Raw genomic sequence first — 18,445 nt, forward strand, 5'->3', positions numbered from 1 at the left:
GAACACTTGAGGCCAGGAGATCAAGACCAGCCTAGCCAACATGGCGAAACCCCGTCTCCTTAAAAATACAAAAATTAGCCAGTCGTGGTGGCTAGTGTCTGTGGTCCCAGCTACTTGGGAGGCTGAGGCATGAGAACCGCTTGAACCTGGGAGGTGGAGGTTGAAGTGAGCCAAGATTGCACCACTGTACTCCAGCCTGACAGAGTGAGACTGTTTCAAAAAAAAAAAAAAAAAAAAAAAAGGAAAGAAAAAGAAAGCAGAAGGAATGAAAGTTCAAAGATATTAGAGCCTCTCCACTTTCTTCCAGATCAGTGAAAAACTTAAGAGGTCCACTCTTTGAAATGGTTGAAACAGAGGGACTCAGAATTAGAGATATTCAGATACAGCTGAGATGATGTATTTAAAAGATTAAGTGAAAATTTAACCACTATGTAAGTGAGCCCCACCTCCAAACCTCCTTTCCCCAATAGGTTCACTAAACACTGGCAGCCCAGCTTATACCCTCTAGTCAGAGTACTGAAAGTCTCCTCTGGGAAAACTACTTAAGCAGGTGACAGAGCGTACAAATACTGGCAGGTGGGTGACAGGCACCCAATAAAAAGAGTCAAGTCCCCAGATCATTCACTCTAGTAAAGCCTGCAATGTCATAAGCTACTCACATACACAGAACCTCCAGTTAGCATTTTAGTACCCAGAAGTCTAAGAGGGTTGCTAATCAAAGATTCTATACCCAGTCAAAACTATCAATTATAAGGATAGAAAAGAAAGAAACTTAAGAGCCTGCAATTCTGCGGTTTGACTCAGAATTCCAACACAGAGGATCTCAAAAGTATCACCATCCTTGCACTCTCAGGAAACTACTCTCAGGTTGGGCACCACCATAACAGTAAATAAGACAAAAAAAAAAAAAAAAAGGAGAAATGAGAAATGAGGGATCCAACAAGAAGGGAAAAGCAAAGAGAATCCCCAAGATGACTACTGTGAAACAGGACTACAGAACTACTAATCCAAATCGGAAAAGAAGAATGAAGGGTAACAACAGGGATATTAATTAACAAGAGGAGAAAAAAAGGGAAACTCATAAGATTATACAAAGTCCTTGAAGGTAGGGAGAAGTGATTTATACTTCTAATAGATAGTCTACTGATGAACTACCAACAGGTACACAGATCAGGAGTCAGCAAACTACAAAAAGTCAGCTAGAAAATATTTCAGGCTAAGTATTTTCAGCTTTGCAAGCCATCTGTCTCTATCATAACTATTTAACTCTGCTCTAGTGTGAAAGCAGGCATAAAACAATCTATCAATGAATGAGCATGGCTGTGTTACAACAAAACTTTATTTACAAAAAAAGTGGCAGAGTACAGGCAGGTGTTTACTAACTCATAACATTAATAATTAAGTGAAAAAAAGGGATAATCATTAACACCTGGGAAAACAAAACGATGTACAAGAAATGAAATGTGAAGGCTGGGCGCCGTGGCTCACGCCTGTAATCCCAGCACTTGGGGAGGCCGAGGTGGGCGGATCACAAGGTCAGGAGATCGAGACCATCCTGGCTACATGGTGAAACCCCATCTCTACTAAAAATACAAAAAATTAGCTGGGCGTGGTGGCGGGCACCTGTAGTCCCAGCTACTCGGGAGGCTGAGGCAGGAGAATGGCGTGAACCAGGGAGGCAGAGCTTGCAGTGAGCTGAGATCGCGCCACTGCACTCCAGCCTGGGTGACAGAGTGAGGCTCTGTCTCCAAAAAAAAAAAAAGAATGAAATGAAATGTGTTTCAATATACTATGGCTCAGTTACAAATAATATTTATAAAATTATAAGAGTATAAACAAATATTGTTTTTACCAAAACTTATAACTATATTGGCAAGATAAGGAAAGGGAGAGGAAGCCAGGTGCAGCGGCTCATGCCTGTAATCCCAGCACTTTGGGAGGTCAAGGTGAGTGGATCACTTGAGGTCAAGAGTTCAAGACCAGCCTAGCCAACATGGCGAAACCTGTCTCTACTAAAAACACAAAAATTAGCTGGGTATGATGGCAGACGCCTGTAATCCCAGCTACTCAGGAGGCTGAGGCAGGAGAATCACTTGAACCTGGGAGGCAGAGGTTGCAGTGAGCCGAGATCATACCATTGCGCTCCAGCCTGGGCAACAAGAGTGAAACTCCGTATCAGAAAAAAAAAAAAAAGGAAAAGGAGAGGGAAAAGAAGTGTGTGCAAAAGTGCCAATATCCAAGTGTTGAGTCGGGGGAAGTAAGATAGCTAACCTCTCAATAGAAAGTCAATAGAATTTCAATGGTAGGCTGTTGTGACCAAAAAAAAAAAAAGTCCACTAGATTAATCCTAAATGATAACTCAAGAATAAGCATGTTATGTCTTTCAAAATTTTTAAACAGGTAACTTAAAAGAAACAGAAGAATTAAAAAGGGCTGCTTCTGAGGAGCAAATCTATTCATTGGGGCTCAGGATTGCAGCCTTTCATTTTAAATCTTGGTAATCTGTTTGACTTCTTAAAACTACATAAATCTATATGCCTGGCTGGGAGCAGTGGCTCACGCCTGTAATCCCAGCACTTTAGGAGGCCGAGGCGGGTGGATTGCCTGAGCTCAGGAGTTCAAGACAAGCCTGGGCAACATGGCAAAACCCCGTTTCTACTAAAAATACACAAAATTAGCCAGGTGTGGTGGCACACGCCTATAATCCCAGCTACTTGGGAGACTGAGGCAGGAGAATCACTTGAACCTGGGAAGCAGAGGTTGCAGTGAGCTGAGATTGCACCACTGCACTCCAGCCTGGGCAACAGAGTGAGACTTTGTCTCAAAATAAATAAATAAATGTATATGGCAGATATTGTTAACTGCCTACCCAATATCCATTTCCACTTCTTTGATCTTTGGTATCTATCTAATATCTATCAGCCCTTTCTTCTTACTAACAAAAACTTCATTTGTTCAGAGCAGCTGTTTCCAAATAAAAGATATTTGTTTCTCTTAGTATGGCCAAAGATATGTCAACTAAAGTTTCCAGAAAATAATTTACTTTCTGACTCAGGTGCCACACCTTCCTTACTTCCTCCCTTCCTTTCTCTTCCTGCCTGGAATCCACTGTGAGGTCTGGAGGTGCAACACACGGGAGGACCATGAAGATGTAAAAATGGCACAGAGAAAACTCTGGGGAACTTTGAATCCTTGATGACATTATTGAACAGCTATACCAGTACTAAACTATCGACCTCCATACTGCTTGCTACTGAGAAAAATCAATCCCTACATAAGCCAAGTAGTTAATGTTGTTCTGTCATTTCCAGCTGAATGCATTCTGAACTTACACAAGTATTTTGTTAACAATAAAGGTTTACGTTAATTTTCAAAGAGGAAAAAAAATGAAAGCACCTTTATTTATCCAGGCTTATCTACTCATCCAGTCTTACTAAAACTAAAAAGTTTGAAAAAACAAACAAACAAAAACTCCAGGTGCACATGAAAAAAGATGTGCATATATGACATCAAAGACCTCAAAATGATTACAATCTCAACCAAATGTTCACTTCACATCCTCTCACATCTTTCAGGAAAAATTAGTAAGTTCCCTTTAGTTTTCTCTTCCCCACATCCCAACTTACTTGCCACTGGTTCATCTCTCTTGAAGTCTCACTAACTCAATGACTGCTGGGAACTTAAATCTTTTGAGAGACTATGCCTTATATTATCTAAATCACGGAGAAGCGAGTAACCTGAAGGTTTTAATTGCATAGGAGAAGGAGGTATCTATCATAAGTCTTCTGTGCCTCTATCTGCAACTAGTCTAATAAGTAGTGTCATAAATTTGCTTAATTCATTGCTCAAGAAAATTATAAGCTCTCAAAGAGTAAATGGTCTTATATAGAAAACACAAATTTAAATTACTTTAATTAAAGGGAATTGAGAGATTGGGAATAAGAAGGGTTAACTTGATCCAAAACATACTCACAGATCACTATCCTTAACAGGTGTTGTTACTTAATTTTAATATCAGAGTGCTGTGCATATATTTCCACAAATACTAAAAAAAAGATACTTCCAAGCCTAAGTCTCTGCTTTCATCCCACATTAAGTCTATCATCACAAATCAAAATTTAGGCCACTGTATTAAAATACAGCCTATTCCTACAGTAAGAAAATGCTTAAAGTGTATAAAGGGAAGTTTGTAAAGTGGTTTAAAAAAAAAAAAAACCTGACTGTATCTAGTACTCTGTCACTGACAACCTCTGGAATATGTCTGTATATTAGCTTGTTTTATCCCACATTCTCTGTTAAGACACAAAAAGGAACAAATCTAAAGAAATATCACGTCAGAATTTAAGATAGCTTACCTTTTATTTATAGGTTTTTCATCTTTTTCATAAGGCTTTACAAACCACTTGCCAATACGTACAAAATTCCTGTTCATTAAACACCGTTCCAATAGATTGTGAACTGCTTTGAAAAGCAGAGTACGGCATTCATAGGAAAGTCCATTCTCCCACACTCCATCTTCTTCTTCTAAAAGAGAAATGAAGGAAATAATAAAATAGTGACACTATAATCTATTCAGAGCCAAGTAAAAAAGGTTACAGTTTAAACTCTATATTCATCAACACTAGCTTACCCCAGAATATTAAGCTACAATCACTTCAATGTATCTCTAGACATTATCAGGTTTCAAAGTTACTCCACAAGGAATAAAAGGTCTAAGTGCCACATATTCTATTAAATTACCTGAAAAGTATTTTTCCACCTTATAAAATTCAATGACATCATGAACATACTGAATTGGTTCCTGTATTAATGAAAAGGACACTTGTTTGTATAACCTGGAAAATATTAAACACACTCTACACCTATGATGCCAATTTCTAAGCTGGCTCACTTGTTACTTTGTCCTAATTCCCCTAGTCATTCAACCTGCCAAAAAAACTAGCCAGTTAATAATTAAAGTCAAAACATTTCATGTCCATCAGCATTCTAATCCACGACTCCACTACAACACTAAGTGATGAATAAAAAGGAAGCTGTTGGCACAGAGCCTAACAAGCGGTGCACTATCAGCCACCTTAGGTCTCATTTCAAACAAATTATTCCCATGATTATTATTCAGTACAGGACCCTTTACTTGGGGGAGAAATTTAAAAATTTAAAGACTTAAATTGTAAATGGCACTTCTGTCAAATAAAATTATAGCTATCTTCACTAACTATATAGCTTCAATTTTGCCAACAAATCTATTAATCACTCCAAGTTAATTTACCAAAAAAACATTAACACAGTCATTTTGAGATAAGTCTGGATGTAGGTCAGAAAAATTTTTTTGTGTACTCTATCCATTTCATATCTGTCACAAAGCATCCAACAAATCGTGCTACAAATAATGATACCACTTCAGCACTCTAACTTTCATTACAAGATTTTAAATTGCTTAGTCTAAATATAATTAACTCTCCTTCTATAGCCTATATACCTTTATAAACATTTTGTAAATATGGGTCATCTGTGTTCAATGTTTAAGTAAAAATAAAAGACAAACGTTTCTCAATTCAACACCAAAAATGCATACACTATACCCACAGAAAAACAGACACAATATGAGCTTCTGAATAAAAGCAAAGACATGTATTAAGAGTTACACATGGTTTATATGCACAATTTATACAACAAATGGGTAGAATAAACATTAACTAAAAAGTATGATAGTGGACTTTAACTGCACTAGAAATTCTGTGCCACTACAAAGATTAATGTTGGTTTTATATTTTCTCCTAAATGATAGTCAAGTCTTTCAAAGCAACTAATTTTTTTTTAAATTTTATTTTAAATAAGCTTTAGGCTGGGCGCAGTTACTCACGCCTGTAATCCTAGCACTTTGGGAGGCTGAGGTGGGCGGATCACCTGAGGTCAGGAGTTCAAGACCAGCCTCGCCAACATGATGAAAGCCCATCTCTACTAAAAATACAAAAATTAGCCAGGCGTCATAGTGCAGCCCTGTAATCCCAGCTACTCGGGAGGCTGAGGTGGGAGAATCACCCAAGAGGGAGAGATTACAGTGAGCCAAGATCGTGCCACTGCACTCCAGCCTGGGACAGAGTGAGATTCAGTCTCCAAAAAAACAAACAAACAAAAAAAAAGGTAAGCTTAGGGAAAAAAAAGTAGAATAAGCTTGAGAAAATGACAATATTTCAGAATTGGTATAGAATAATTTTTTAAGTCTAATATTAATCATAAATATTAAATAGGAAAAATTCACATTCTATTATATCAAAGACACCGTTATCTACTTCCATTTAAAACCAAAACGTTTATGGGTTTCACTTCATTAAAGAAAGTATTAGGCTAGGAGAATAGAGAAGCAGCACAAAGTGACTTCACTTTAATTAATTAAAGGTCTAGATCACAAGCATATTTGTGAGTTGATGACAAAAAAAGAGAAAAGAATCTCAATTGATCTGCTTTCAATTTAATGAGGTCCTACCATTTCAAAATTAAATAGCTACATTAAGACTTTTACCTCAAATTATGAGACTTATGACTACTAGAATATACATGTTCTTAATTCCAACAGAATTATGTTAGGAATATCTTCCAATTCTTCACCTCTTTACAATCAATTTAGTATCTTTTATTTTTATTACCTTTTATTTCAAAAATCCCTACCTTCTGATGGTTGTAACACTTGTTCTACATAAGAAACCACTACCAACATATTTCTCCTAAGTTTTAAAGCATCAAAGACCCAAGACACAGTTACCATTTGTAAGTATCAAGGTTGTACAGTTGTTATAAACTTCAAATAAATTAGTCATTTAAAACTAGAAAATGACTTTGTCTCCTTCGCAAAAATAGTAAATAAAAAAATCTGCTTTCTGGGAGGCTGAAGCCAGGTGTGGTGGCTCACGCCTGCTATCCGGGAGGCTGAGGCCAGGTGTGGTGGCTCATGCCTGTAATCCCAGCACTTCAGGAGGCCAAGGCAAGTGGACCACTTGAGGCCAGGAGTTCGAGACCAGCCTGGCCAACATGGCAAAACCCCATTTCTACTAAAAATATAAAAATTAGCCATGCATGGCACGGCTGTAGTCCCAGCTACTCAGGAGGCTGAGGCATGAGAATCACCTGAGCCCAAGAGATGGGAGTTGCAGTGAGCTGAGATCACACCACTGCACTCCACTGTGGGCGACATAGCGAGACTCTGACTCAAAAAAACAAAAAAAAAAACCTTTGCAATAGTAAAAGCTAAAGCACAATTTATAAATTTTCACATGAAATTCTGAAAATTTTATGGTTTTATTTTGTAAAATCTATTTTAGTTAAACTTGCAGTCAAATGATTTAAGAATATTTAATGTGAGGCCATGTGCGGTGGCTCATGCCTATAATCCCAGCACTTTGGGAGGTCGAGGCAGGTGGATCATCTGAGGTCAGGAGTTCAAGACCAGCCTGGCCAACATAGTGAAACCCCATCTCTACTAAAAATACAAAACTTAGCTGGGCGAGATGGCATGCACCTGTAGTCCCAGCTATCCGGGAGGCTGAGGCAGGAGAATCACTTGAACTGGGTGGCAGAGGCTGCAGTAAACCGAGATCACGCCACTGCACTCCAGCCTGGTGACAGAGCAAGACTCCATCTCAAAAAAAAAAAGAATATTGAATGTGGTTTAGAAAAGTAATCAGTATTAATCTTGAAGCATTTCTCCCTCATTATTCTAATGCTTTCAGAGGGGGTGGGCATCTTATGTCCCCAGTGCCCACAATTCTCATTAACACTAAATAGGAGCTATGCATAAAACAAACAAGTAGAGACCACCTGTTGAGGTTTTCTAAATCCAACGTATCTCTGAAGTATGTCCTCATCTATATGGCAAGCAACTAAGCAACCATTACACTAAAGTAATATAATTTCATATTTTGTTGCTGAGAAAAACGAGAGTAAGTCCTAATAACGCTCAATAAAGTCTGAAGGTTTTTGGTTTTGTTGGGAATCACTTAGAAACAAGAAGCCTACTGAGCCAAGTTTCTAATATCCTGACAATCTAATAACTGTAATAAAAGTACTTTCTACACGTTGTATTCAGATACGAAAAGTGAAATGGTACAACCAACCCACTCAAGGCATAGTGATATGCACTATTTACACTAATTGAAACAAGTTCTTGAATCTCAACACCAGCATTATAATAGGGAGGGGAAGGAGAAGGGAACATATGGCAAATCTTTACCTATCTCTTTTGAACTTAACCAGAGCCTAATAGAAAAAGTCTGCTTAATCTATATAACTATTTTCCTCCTCTAGCCAGGTGCAATGACTCATGCCTGTAATCCCAGCTACTTGGGAAGCTAAGACAGAAGGATCACTTGAAGCTAGGAGTTCAAGACTAGCCTGGCAATACAGGAAGACCCTGACTCCAAAAAACTTTTTTTAGTTAGTAGGGCATAGTGGCAATGCCTGTAGGCCCAGCTGCTGGGGAAGCTGAGGTGGGAGGATTGCTTGAGTCCAGGAGTCGGAGGCTGCAGTGAGCTATGATTAAGCACTGCAGGCTGAGTGAGACAAAGTGTGACCTCCATCCCTACAAAAAAAAGAAAAAAAAATTCCTTCTCTTGTAGCTCTATGTCCAGAGAAAATAAAGTTCAACTCTGCATTCTTAGTACTTTTCTGTTACTATTAGCATTACAGTTCTTAATCATCAGTGTTTCTTGAAATTTTTATGGACTATTTATTGGAAGAAAACACAAATGCTAAATTTGATTACCATATTTTTTTCCTGAAGATGCAGATTACAGTAGTGCCAAAGTATGTGATAAGTCATCAAAATAATTCTCTATCAATGGGGAAAAAAAATCACAACCAAAAAAGCAGACACACCCTGCACTCAACATTTTTCTCAAAAAAATGGCATCTTTAAATATCTCCACGGTGGTAAAAAATGAATCTTCTCCAATACAATTTTGCAAAACTATTAAAATGTAACATATGCTAATGAATAATGGCTCAAAAATTAACATGGTAGAAAATACCATGTATTTCCTGAAATAAAGAGAAATGTTTAAATGCTAGATCAGTGTTTCTCCTGAATAATCATTAATAACCTATACATTCAACAAATATACCGAGAGCCTTAAGTTGGCCGCATCATTATCTATGGCAAAACTTGAAAACTGATTTAAAAACAGCCTAGTATGTTATGTTTGGCTTGAAAACTTAGAAGATACACTTGATCAAAAAAACAGTATGCAGAAGAAATACAGCAAATGAAGTTGTCACCTAGGAGACTAGCCAATTTAAAGAGTCGGGCCACATCACAAGTAAATTTTACAATAGTAGAAATAAATTACTCTCTTTAGACTATGTGGGGCACACAACAATGTTTTAGTTTGGCTGGGACTAGATTCCTATGCCTGGCTGTTTATCTATCTGTCAATCCTATTAACAGCTGTCATTTAAGGTTAAAGTCCACTACAGTTAATATCCTTCAATTAAAACATCCAAAATTAAATTCAGAACAATAGTCCACTTAGTTTGAGCACTATTCATTATGATAAAATTCTGGTATAATAAAACTATCTGAACATGTTACTAAAATCTACTTTACAGACCTCAGGAGCCAGGAAAAAGAACAAATATTTTTAGCCCTGAGTTTTTTTAGTTCACAAGGTATCAGTTTTCTCAAAGAGTCTCATCACAGTCTAACTTGCTATGATTTTTTTAAGATGACAAATGGGAGAGGACGCAGTGTTTGCTTTTATTTTTATTTAAAGGGAAAGAATAAAAGCCAATGATGACAGCAATTGAATTCCAAAAATGTTAGAACACAGAATAAAAATACACAGAAAACTCTCCTTCAAGACCACATTAATGAAAATGATACAATCTTGCTCTGAAGCAAATTAACAGTACACTTAAAAGTACCAGTCCTACCCACCACAGAGATTCTTGACCAGAGGGACTGAGCTAAGATTTTCCCATCACCCATTTTATACCTCTTTCACCCACTATCACACAACCACTAAACAAAGCTACAAAATACAATTTTTAAAAAAAAGGGGCCAGGCATGGTGGCTCATGCCTGTAATCCCAGCACTTGGGGAGGCTGAGGCGGGCAGATCACCTGAGGCCAGGAGTTCCAGACCAGCCTGGCCAACATGGCGAAACTCCTATTAAAATCTCTACCAAAAATACAAAAATTAGCCAGGCGTGATGACACATGCCTGTAGTCCCAACTACTCGGGAGGCTGAGGCAGAAGGATCGCTTGAACCTGGGAGGCGGAGGTCGCAGTGAGCCAAGATCGCCCCACTACACTCCAGCCTGGGAGACAGAGCGAGACTTCATCTCAAAAAAAAAAAAAAAAAAAAAAGAAAGAAAGAAAGAAAAAAGCTGTAACCCCAAAGGAGTTTTATTCCCTAATCCTTTTTGTATCAAAACATATCGACCCCGATTCAACTAATCATTATCCTATAGAGGATAAAGCAAAAAGTAAGAAAATCATCTATGTTTGGCTTTGGAATTCAAGAGATTTTTTGAACAAATAACCTTCTGGAATGTTATAGTTTGGCTAATACTAGTTAGCACAAATCCTGATCCAAAAATCATCCAGCCTTTGCAAATTACTTTGCTCAACGGTATTGACTTACTGCTACAAAATGAGTAACTGAGGGTTTAAAGTATGTATTAAATCAGACGTGATTTGCTGTAACTGATCTTTGCCAGTTAGCAATAAAATAAGTTTACATTCTATTTCTACACATCAGCTAAACTTGAAAGGAAGGTAACCCAAACAAATGCTAAGTGACATAAGAGAAAATGAAATTTAAAATGCACTATGGAATCTGAACAGATTCTTCAGAACTGTCGAAATCATCAAAACCAAAGAAAGTCTGAGAAACTGTCACAGTCTAACAAAGCCTAAGGAGACATGACAATTAAATGTAATAGGGGTATCTTAAATGAGATCCTAGAAAAGAAAAACATATTAGGCAAAAAAATAAAGGAAATCCAAATATATACTTTAGTTAATAATAAAGTATCAATATTGGTTCATTAGTTAATTTTTAAAAATACACTGCATGACACAAAGGAGCTAAGGGGGTTAAACAAAGGCAATTCTGTATTTCTGTTACTGAATATTCCAGTTAAGAAAAACTGAGAATTCTAATCTTTGAAAAAAGAAATGCTTTCCCTCTTCCCTCACTACCAAGAAAAACAAGGGCAATATTATCACCATAATAAAAAACACTTCAGTAACAAGATGTGGTGTGTGCTGAACCAAACAGAAGGACACTGCCTGTGAAGAGCAGGCTCAAGCTAAATTAACCAGCTTTTTAGTTACCACCTGGGTCCTTCCGGTACCCCATTCCTCAGTGCTACACCTCCACTTGGAACTCAGGACTGCCTCCAGCAGCTGATGCTACCCTGTACTGTCCAGCTGCTCTCTTCTCAGGGGAGCTTAGAAGAAGGAAATAGAGTGCCACAGATGGAAGAAATGAAAAAGGGGTTAGCTAGAGAGACAGAGGCAGACTAATTACCCCAAGAGGGAGGTAGACGCTGTCCCTAGAGCAAAGAAAAGGGCAAGACAAATATATTCCATCTGAAAAAACCTTATTATGCTTTAAGATACGTCTGATTTAAGTAACAACATTCTTAAGTAAATAACAGGTTTTATTTTTAAGAAAAGCTAAAATATTATATAAATAACACTGACTATGCAAACTAAAACAGTACAGGACAAGCTTTGGAACAATAAATATGATCATATACCACTCCTAATTGTATTTCAGTTTATTATTTCAATCACTTCACTTTGATAAATTTTTAAGTTATTTACGGCCAGGTGCAGTGACTCACGCCTGTAATCCTAGCACTTTGGGAGGCCGAGGCGGGTGGACTGTCTGCGCTCAGGAGTTCGAGACCAGCCTGGCGAACACGGTGAAACCCCATCTCTACTAAAAATACAAAAAATTAGCCGAGTGTGGCAGCATGTGCCTGTAATCCCAGCTACTCGGGAGGCTGAGACAGGAGAATCGCTTGAACCCAGGAGGTGGAGGTTGCAGTGAGCTGAGATTGCGCCACTGCACTCCAGCCTGGGCGACAAAGCAAGACTCCATCTCAAAAAAAAAGCTATTTACCATTCATTAGCATTCAGTAAAGTCTGACAGCAGTTAAAACCCTACCTCCTGCCTGTAATCCCAGCAGTTTGGGAGGCCAAGGCTGGCGGATCACAAGCTCAGGAGATCGAGACCATCCTGTCTAACAGTGAAACCCCGTCTCTATTAAAAATACAAAAAATTAGCCGGGCGTGGTGGTGGGCGCCTGTAGTCCCAGGTACTCAGGAGGCTGAGGTAGTAGGAGTATGGCATGAACCCAGGAGGCAGAGCTTGCAGCAAGCAAGCTCCACTGCACTCAGAGAGCGAGATCACGCCACTGCACTCCAGCCCGCGGGACAGAATGAGACTCCGTCTCAAAAAAAAAAAAAAAACCAACCTCCCAAAATTATTTTCATTCACGTTCAAGATCACTATCTATTTTTTTTTTTGAGACAGAGTCTCACTCTGTCGCCCAGGCTGGAGTGCAGTGGCAAGATCTCGGCTCACTGCAACCTCCGCCTCCTGGGATCAAGCAATTCTCCTGCCTCAGCCTACTGAGTAGCTGGAACTACAGGTGCGTGCCACCATGCCCAGCTAATTTTTGTGTCTTCAGTAGAGATGGGGTTTCACCATGTTGGCCAGGATGGTCTCTATCTCCTGACCCTGCGATCTGCCTGCCTCAGCCTCCCAAAAGTGCTGGGATTACAGGCGTGAGTGAGCCATGGCACCCAGCTGATCACTATTTTAAAGGTACAAGTAACTACCATTTTTGAAAATTACGCTAAAAATCAAAGCTAGAGAAAAATGTTTAAGACTGTAACCTAGTTTCAGTGGAGAAAACATATCTGACTGGTAACATGAAACCTAGAAGACAAAACTGACTTTTAACAATATCCATCAAAGCAGCTCACATCTAACTTTAATAGTCTTTTAACTTTCACAATATTTTTTCTATTACGGTAAAACTAGGCCAGGTGCAGGGGCTCACACTTGTAATCCCAGCACTTTGGGAGGTTAAGATGGAAGGATCACTAGAGTTCAGGAGTTCAAGACCAGCCTGGTCAACACAGCAAGACCCCATCTCTACTTAAAAAGAAAAAAAGAAAAAAAAAATTAAACATTATGTATCTCTTAAAATTATCTTTGATTCTACAAAGTGTATTTCATGGAATCTTAAAAAAAGATCTGTTTAGTCTGTTTAGATGCTCTGCCAACTTTATTAAGAAGACCAAAGCCCCTAAGTCACCATTATAGTTTTATCAATAATTATGTTTTATCAACAAATATATTTTATCAATAGTTTATAGTTTTTCAACAATGTTATACAGTCTCCAAACATTCTAGTAAGGTGATTTTTATGACCACTTAACGATTAAAATAACTCAAATACTATATCCAAAACAATGAAAGAAAAAGGAGGCTGGCGGACTTAGCTTTTGGCATAATTAGAAAGTATTGTCTCGCTAAAACTACCATATATACATACATCATGTATATGTACATATATGTATATACATATACACATCACTTTACACATTTAGAACTACATTAAATACACACAACTAAGGACTGGACTCTGCAGCAGGCATCTTATTAGAAAAACTACAAAAGCTGGAAAGCTTTCTTGAAGAATTGCAGTCACTCTCAAAAATAACAATTAACACTGGAGAGTATGTTCATTAGAATGTGAAAAGCAATTATCAAAACATACAAATGTAACACGTACATTCCTACATAAATGTTGGTCTTACTAAGTACCAGTTCAAGATACAGACACCTAGAATACATTCTATCCAAAAATAAAATAGATCCTATAGGTCAGAGATACAATAACAAAAACTTCAGAGTACTCAATTTCAAATAAGAACTTAAAAAAAATTATCTAGAAATCCTAAGTTTATCTGTCAAAAATCATTATCAAACTATCTTACTGAAGTCTTTGGAACCTTATAGCATACAACCAATCATTTATATTCCTATTATCTAAGATTCAGTTAATACTGACTTTCACAATTTAAAGCTTCAGTAATTATATGAAAAGCTATAGTTTCTCTTTCTAAAGTAGCATTTGGTCCTAAAAGTCAAGAAAATAAGGAAGTAATCACATTGATTTGCTCACAATAAAATTGTTTGTGTAACCTTTTAGATTATGATCCCATGTCCCATAAAAGCTAAACAAGTTGGCACTTTTCTCTTATTATGTTTGACAGAACAGTATATGAGTCACTTTCCAAAAATAACTAAATTAACATATGCCTTCATAAGTTAATCAAATAGCACAAATGACAATAACAAAATACATGCCTTAAAACACACACACACACACACACACCACACACACACACACACACACACACACGGATAGTTACATTTCCAGTACTTTTAGAATCATCTGCCTATTCAATGCAAAAGACTCAACTTCAGCAGTGGCTGAAGTGACTCAAAAGTTACATCTGGCTTCTAAACTATTACACGACTTTGTTAGGAACTCTGTTTCCTGATTCCATTTTTTTAGATTAATGTAACATGCCTTCTTCGGGCCCTAACTACCTGTGAGAAATTAAGAAGAGAGGTGGTGGAAGGAGAAAGTCATTCACGCCTTAAAAACCCAGCTATAACAACATGGATAATTTAAGTAAAATAAAATAATCATGGTGAAATAAAACAATGAAGCTGAATTTTTATCTGGCCTCCTAAGTCTCCCACAAAAACAAACTTAATTTGTAATACATATGACATTCTGGGAGAAGTATACAATGTTGCTATATCATTAGTTAGAAATGGAAAGTTTCTTTCACCTGATAAGTCATGGTGAATAAGGTCAGCAAAACTGGGGTCTTCACCCCACCAAAATATCCACAATTCTCTTCTTCCAGGTCTTTGATCTCGCCGCCAAACACCAAGTACATCTGCCTTAAGGCAGCGACTAAAACTGCTCAAAATGGGGTCTTCTTCTGTCACAGGAAACAGAATAGGGGCAGAAGTTGGGCCTTGCCATACATATTTTTTCCACTTAATTCCTGTCAAGTCAGCCTGAAGGAAAGAAAGCATTAAGTTTTATTACTGCATATTCACTCAAAGTCAAAAGTACTCAATATGATGTCTCTTATTTCATTAAGACATTACAATTTTTCAATGTATGCTTGAGATATTGACTGCAAATTAGAACAAAAAAAGACTTTATAATTCAACAACCAAGAATTTTAGGGAGAAGAATACAGTTAAAAATTACCACCACCATGTCACTGAATAGCAAGCAAATATGTACTCCAAGTAGAAACAGAAGAAACTGAATGATGTTAAATATAGACACACACTTCAATATGCAAACAGAGTACATTTTTCTCTGTCCTAACTGGTCACATTTGTTCACTGGTGTCAAACTTTTAACTGAAAATCAATTATTAAAGACCCTATCATGGGTTTTTATTCCACATTTACAGAAGTAACGTCTCTAATGAAAAGACATCTGAACAAGTTCTGAAAAAATCTATGTTAATTCTTCACACACACCCCTGTCGGAAAAGTCAAATAGCTACTCACAAAGAACTGTCAGATTTGTGCTAGTCTATCTTCAAAGAACTGATCCTAAAAGTACCAAAAATAGACTGAGTTGGATAAGATAGAAATATAAAACCTGGTGTATGTCTTATTACATGTGAAGAGATGCTGATTAATGGACATTGAAAAGAAAAACATACTGTAGACGAGGATAGAGTATTAAAGATCTCAATTTAGCATGGGCGTTAAGAAATTCGACAAGAGGAATTCAGTAATTTAATCTAACTTAAAGGAGCAAAGCATAAGGTGCCAAAAATGAAACTGCTGATACATGACTGGCAGTTTACACTTGCCAACTAGTTGTGCTCCTCCCACTTAACTCACTTACCTATCATATACTCTTAATATTTCTCATAGCACAAAGGAGAAAATGAAAAAGTAAAGTCACCCAAACTTAAAGTCATTGATGAAGCTCAGCTACTGTCCCATACAGGACAAGTTATTTGCAACAGTTGGTACTTCTGAAAGCCTTAACTGTTGGATGTTACCAGACCTGGGCTAACCTACACAATGATCATCCCTACATCCCGCTTCTCTCGACTTTCCATTTCAATCAAACAAGGGAGCAGCCTGCTCAAAACATTCTGAAAAAGCAACCAAAACACAATAAATATAGAAACAGTGCAAAACCACAGCACCTCGTCCACTAGCCCCCTTCACTCTCACAAAAACATCATGTTCTAATAAAAGCAAGATGGCTAGAAATTGTCAAAAATGGCAAACTGTTTTCAAAGTTTAAAAAGAAAACATATGAAATGGCACCTACTGGCTTTTACAGAGAGATCTTAAGTCACCCAAGAAAGAAACTAACCTGGCGTTAGTTTGACTCATACAAAAAAAATGTAAAACCAAGACAGGTTTCTAGGGCTTAAGTTCTGGGGTCCTGTTTACATGGGGAAACCAAATTAAAAGGGTAAGACATAAAGGCGGTGGGGAGCAGGGGCAATAATGTAAAGTGTGAAGCAGGGATACAGGGCCAATAAGGAGAAAAGCAACAGTTAAGCAAGACAAGAGGGAAAGGTTACTGTCCTGCCAGATAAGGAGCTCAAGTTGAGGACGAGACTACGGTGAGAAGGAGAGTCCGAAACAAGACGAGAAAAAATGCCAACACTCCCCTAAACAGAGCCCGGGACCGTAGGAGAGCGAACGCCGCCTCCCGGGGCTGGCCGCGGAGCTTCGCAGGGCGCCGGCTCCGGCTGGGCCTCGCCCGGGAACTCGGGCATCTGGACCAGACCCGGCCCCCTCCCCCACGGCCCAAGGGCGCACCTCGCGGCCCCCCTCCCTCGGCGCCCGCCGGCCCCGGCACTCACCAGGCAGAAGAGGTTACAGTGACAATCTTCCAGGCTGGCCCCGTTCGGCACGAAGGAGGCACTCATCGTCCCTCACAGCAGCCGCCGCCGGCGCCACAACCCACCATCCGCCATTACCGCCGCCTCCGACCAGAGAGAGAAACACAGACACCGGGGAGGGCCGGGGGGGGGGTAGTGGTTGGGGGGGCGGTGGAAGAGGAGGCCGCCGGGCGCCCGCCCTCCCCACCCACCCCCCCGCCGCCGCCGCCGCCGCCGCCGCCGCGAGCAGCCCCCGCCGCCCGGCCGGCACCCAGCCGCCCGGGGCCGAGGGCCGGAGGCGGGAGGGCCGCGCCGCGCTCGCCTGGCGGGCCGGACTGCGGATCCCGCAGACGCTCGTCCCTCTCTGGGGGACGGAGGGGATGTGTGCCCCTACCACAAGAAAAATAATAAATTACACAATAAATAATCAAAATCAAGTCCGAGACGGCAGAGCCCAAGCCCAGGACGGTTCTCCCGGGCGGAGAGGCGCCCGCACAGGAGCGGGAAGGGCGAGAACCGGGAGAGAAGCCCAGGCCCCCGGCGCGGCAGCGGCGATGTCCTTAAGCCCAGAGTCTCCTCAGCGGCGGAGGTGGTGGCGGCGTCTGCGGGCTCAGACCATTCTCTGGCTCTGTCTTCGTGTCGTTCCTGGGCCAAGCCGGCCTAAAGTTTGCCCTCCTGTGGCCTCACCGGCTGGACGCCGTAGTCTCCCCCATTTTGTGGGCCCAGCGGGCGGTGTTTTTCCCCCTTTAATCCGAATTCACGGGTTTTCCCTTCGCTTTAATGGCGGCCACAGGGACCAGCTCGCCCTCTCTGCTCACCCATTGGCCGCCTTGAGGTCACGTGGGCCCGGGCTCGGTTGGGAGGGGGAGAGAGAAGTGAGCGAGGGAGGGCCGGGAAGCTTTCGGCGGAGGCGGTGAGCTCGGGGGACGGGGCAGCCAGCTGGTGGCCACTAACATAGCGCCATCTGCTGGGTGCCCCGGCCAGTATAAAACGACCCGGGGCCCTGGCCCTCTCTTTGCGGGGAAATTTACAGTCCAGGAAGGTTCATTTCACAAATCAGTGAGAATTACGTGGAAATCAGTTTGAGTTCTTTGGAAGAGAAAGTATTGGCAAAAATTCCAAGACATTCTCATTTATTTCGCGAGGCCGCTGGGGTGCAGGTGCAAACCTCTGGATTTGGGAGTCAGATGATCTGGATGGGGATAAGACTCCTCAACCTAAAAGTTGTGATATGAAGATATAAATTTAAGAAACAAAATATTGCCCTGTAGTTAATAGACTGGGAATTAGAGCCACACTGCCTGGGTTCCAAGCTTGAGCAAATCACTTCCTGCTCTGTGTCTTTACTCATCTGTAAAATGGGGAAAACATATCCCTTACCCCACAAGCTTATTGTAATGAGTTAATACAAATTAAGCAGGTAGCCCAGTGCCCCGCACAGATAAGCACTGTTAAGAGTTAACTATTAT

The 18,445-nt window shown here is 39.9% G+C and overlaps 1 protein-coding gene across 4 annotated transcripts in view, besides 4 other annotated features; it reads right to left on the minus strand.

The window, feature by feature from the left end:
* The window catches only part of MED13 (mediator complex subunit 13), a 122,674-nt gene extending 105,577 nt beyond the window's left edge, over positions 1-17,097 (minus strand). For 3 of the 4 annotated variants that reach the window (XM_011525551.3, NM_005121.3, XM_011525552.3), the window contains exons 1-3: positions 16,959-17,097; positions 14,886-15,120; positions 4,356-4,524 (exon numbers count right to left, since the gene is read on the minus strand). In XM_011525551.3, the coding sequence (XP_011523853.1) occupies positions 4,356-4,524; positions 14,886-15,120; positions 16,959-17,024 (470 nt within the window). In that variant the 5' untranslated portion in view covers positions 17,025-17,097. Of the gene's footprint in view, positions 1-4,355; positions 4,525-14,885; positions 15,121-16,958 lie in introns of those variants that run through there. The other variant, XM_011525553.4, reaches the window with a different exon arrangement.
* Positions 16,488-16,587: an enhancer, noted in NCBI's record as "active region_12537". NCBI's record gives its function as "activates an Ori minimal core promoter by ATAC-STARR-seq in GM12878 lymphoblastoid cells {active_cell/tissue: GM12878}" and the evidence as "EXISTENCE:reporter gene assay evidence [ECO:0000049][PMID:35858748]".
* Positions 16,738-17,017: a silencer, noted in NCBI's record as "silent region_8803". NCBI's record gives its function as "represses an Ori minimal core promoter by ATAC-STARR-seq in GM12878 lymphoblastoid cells {active_cell/tissue: GM12878}" and the evidence as "EXISTENCE:reporter gene assay evidence [ECO:0000049][PMID:35858748]".
* Positions 17,498-17,757: an enhancer, noted in NCBI's record as "active region_12538". NCBI's record gives its function as "activates an Ori minimal core promoter by ATAC-STARR-seq in GM12878 lymphoblastoid cells {active_cell/tissue: GM12878}" and the evidence as "EXISTENCE:reporter gene assay evidence [ECO:0000049][PMID:35858748]".
* Positions 17,808-17,887: a silencer, noted in NCBI's record as "silent region_8804". NCBI's record gives its function as "represses an Ori minimal core promoter by ATAC-STARR-seq in GM12878 lymphoblastoid cells {active_cell/tissue: GM12878}" and the evidence as "EXISTENCE:reporter gene assay evidence [ECO:0000049][PMID:35858748]".

The sequence above is a fragment of the Homo sapiens genome, chromosome 17, assembly GCF_000001405.40.
Source record: "Homo sapiens chromosome 17, GRCh38.p14 Primary Assembly".
NCBI lineage: Eukaryota > Metazoa > Chordata > Mammalia > Primates > Hominidae > Homo > Homo sapiens.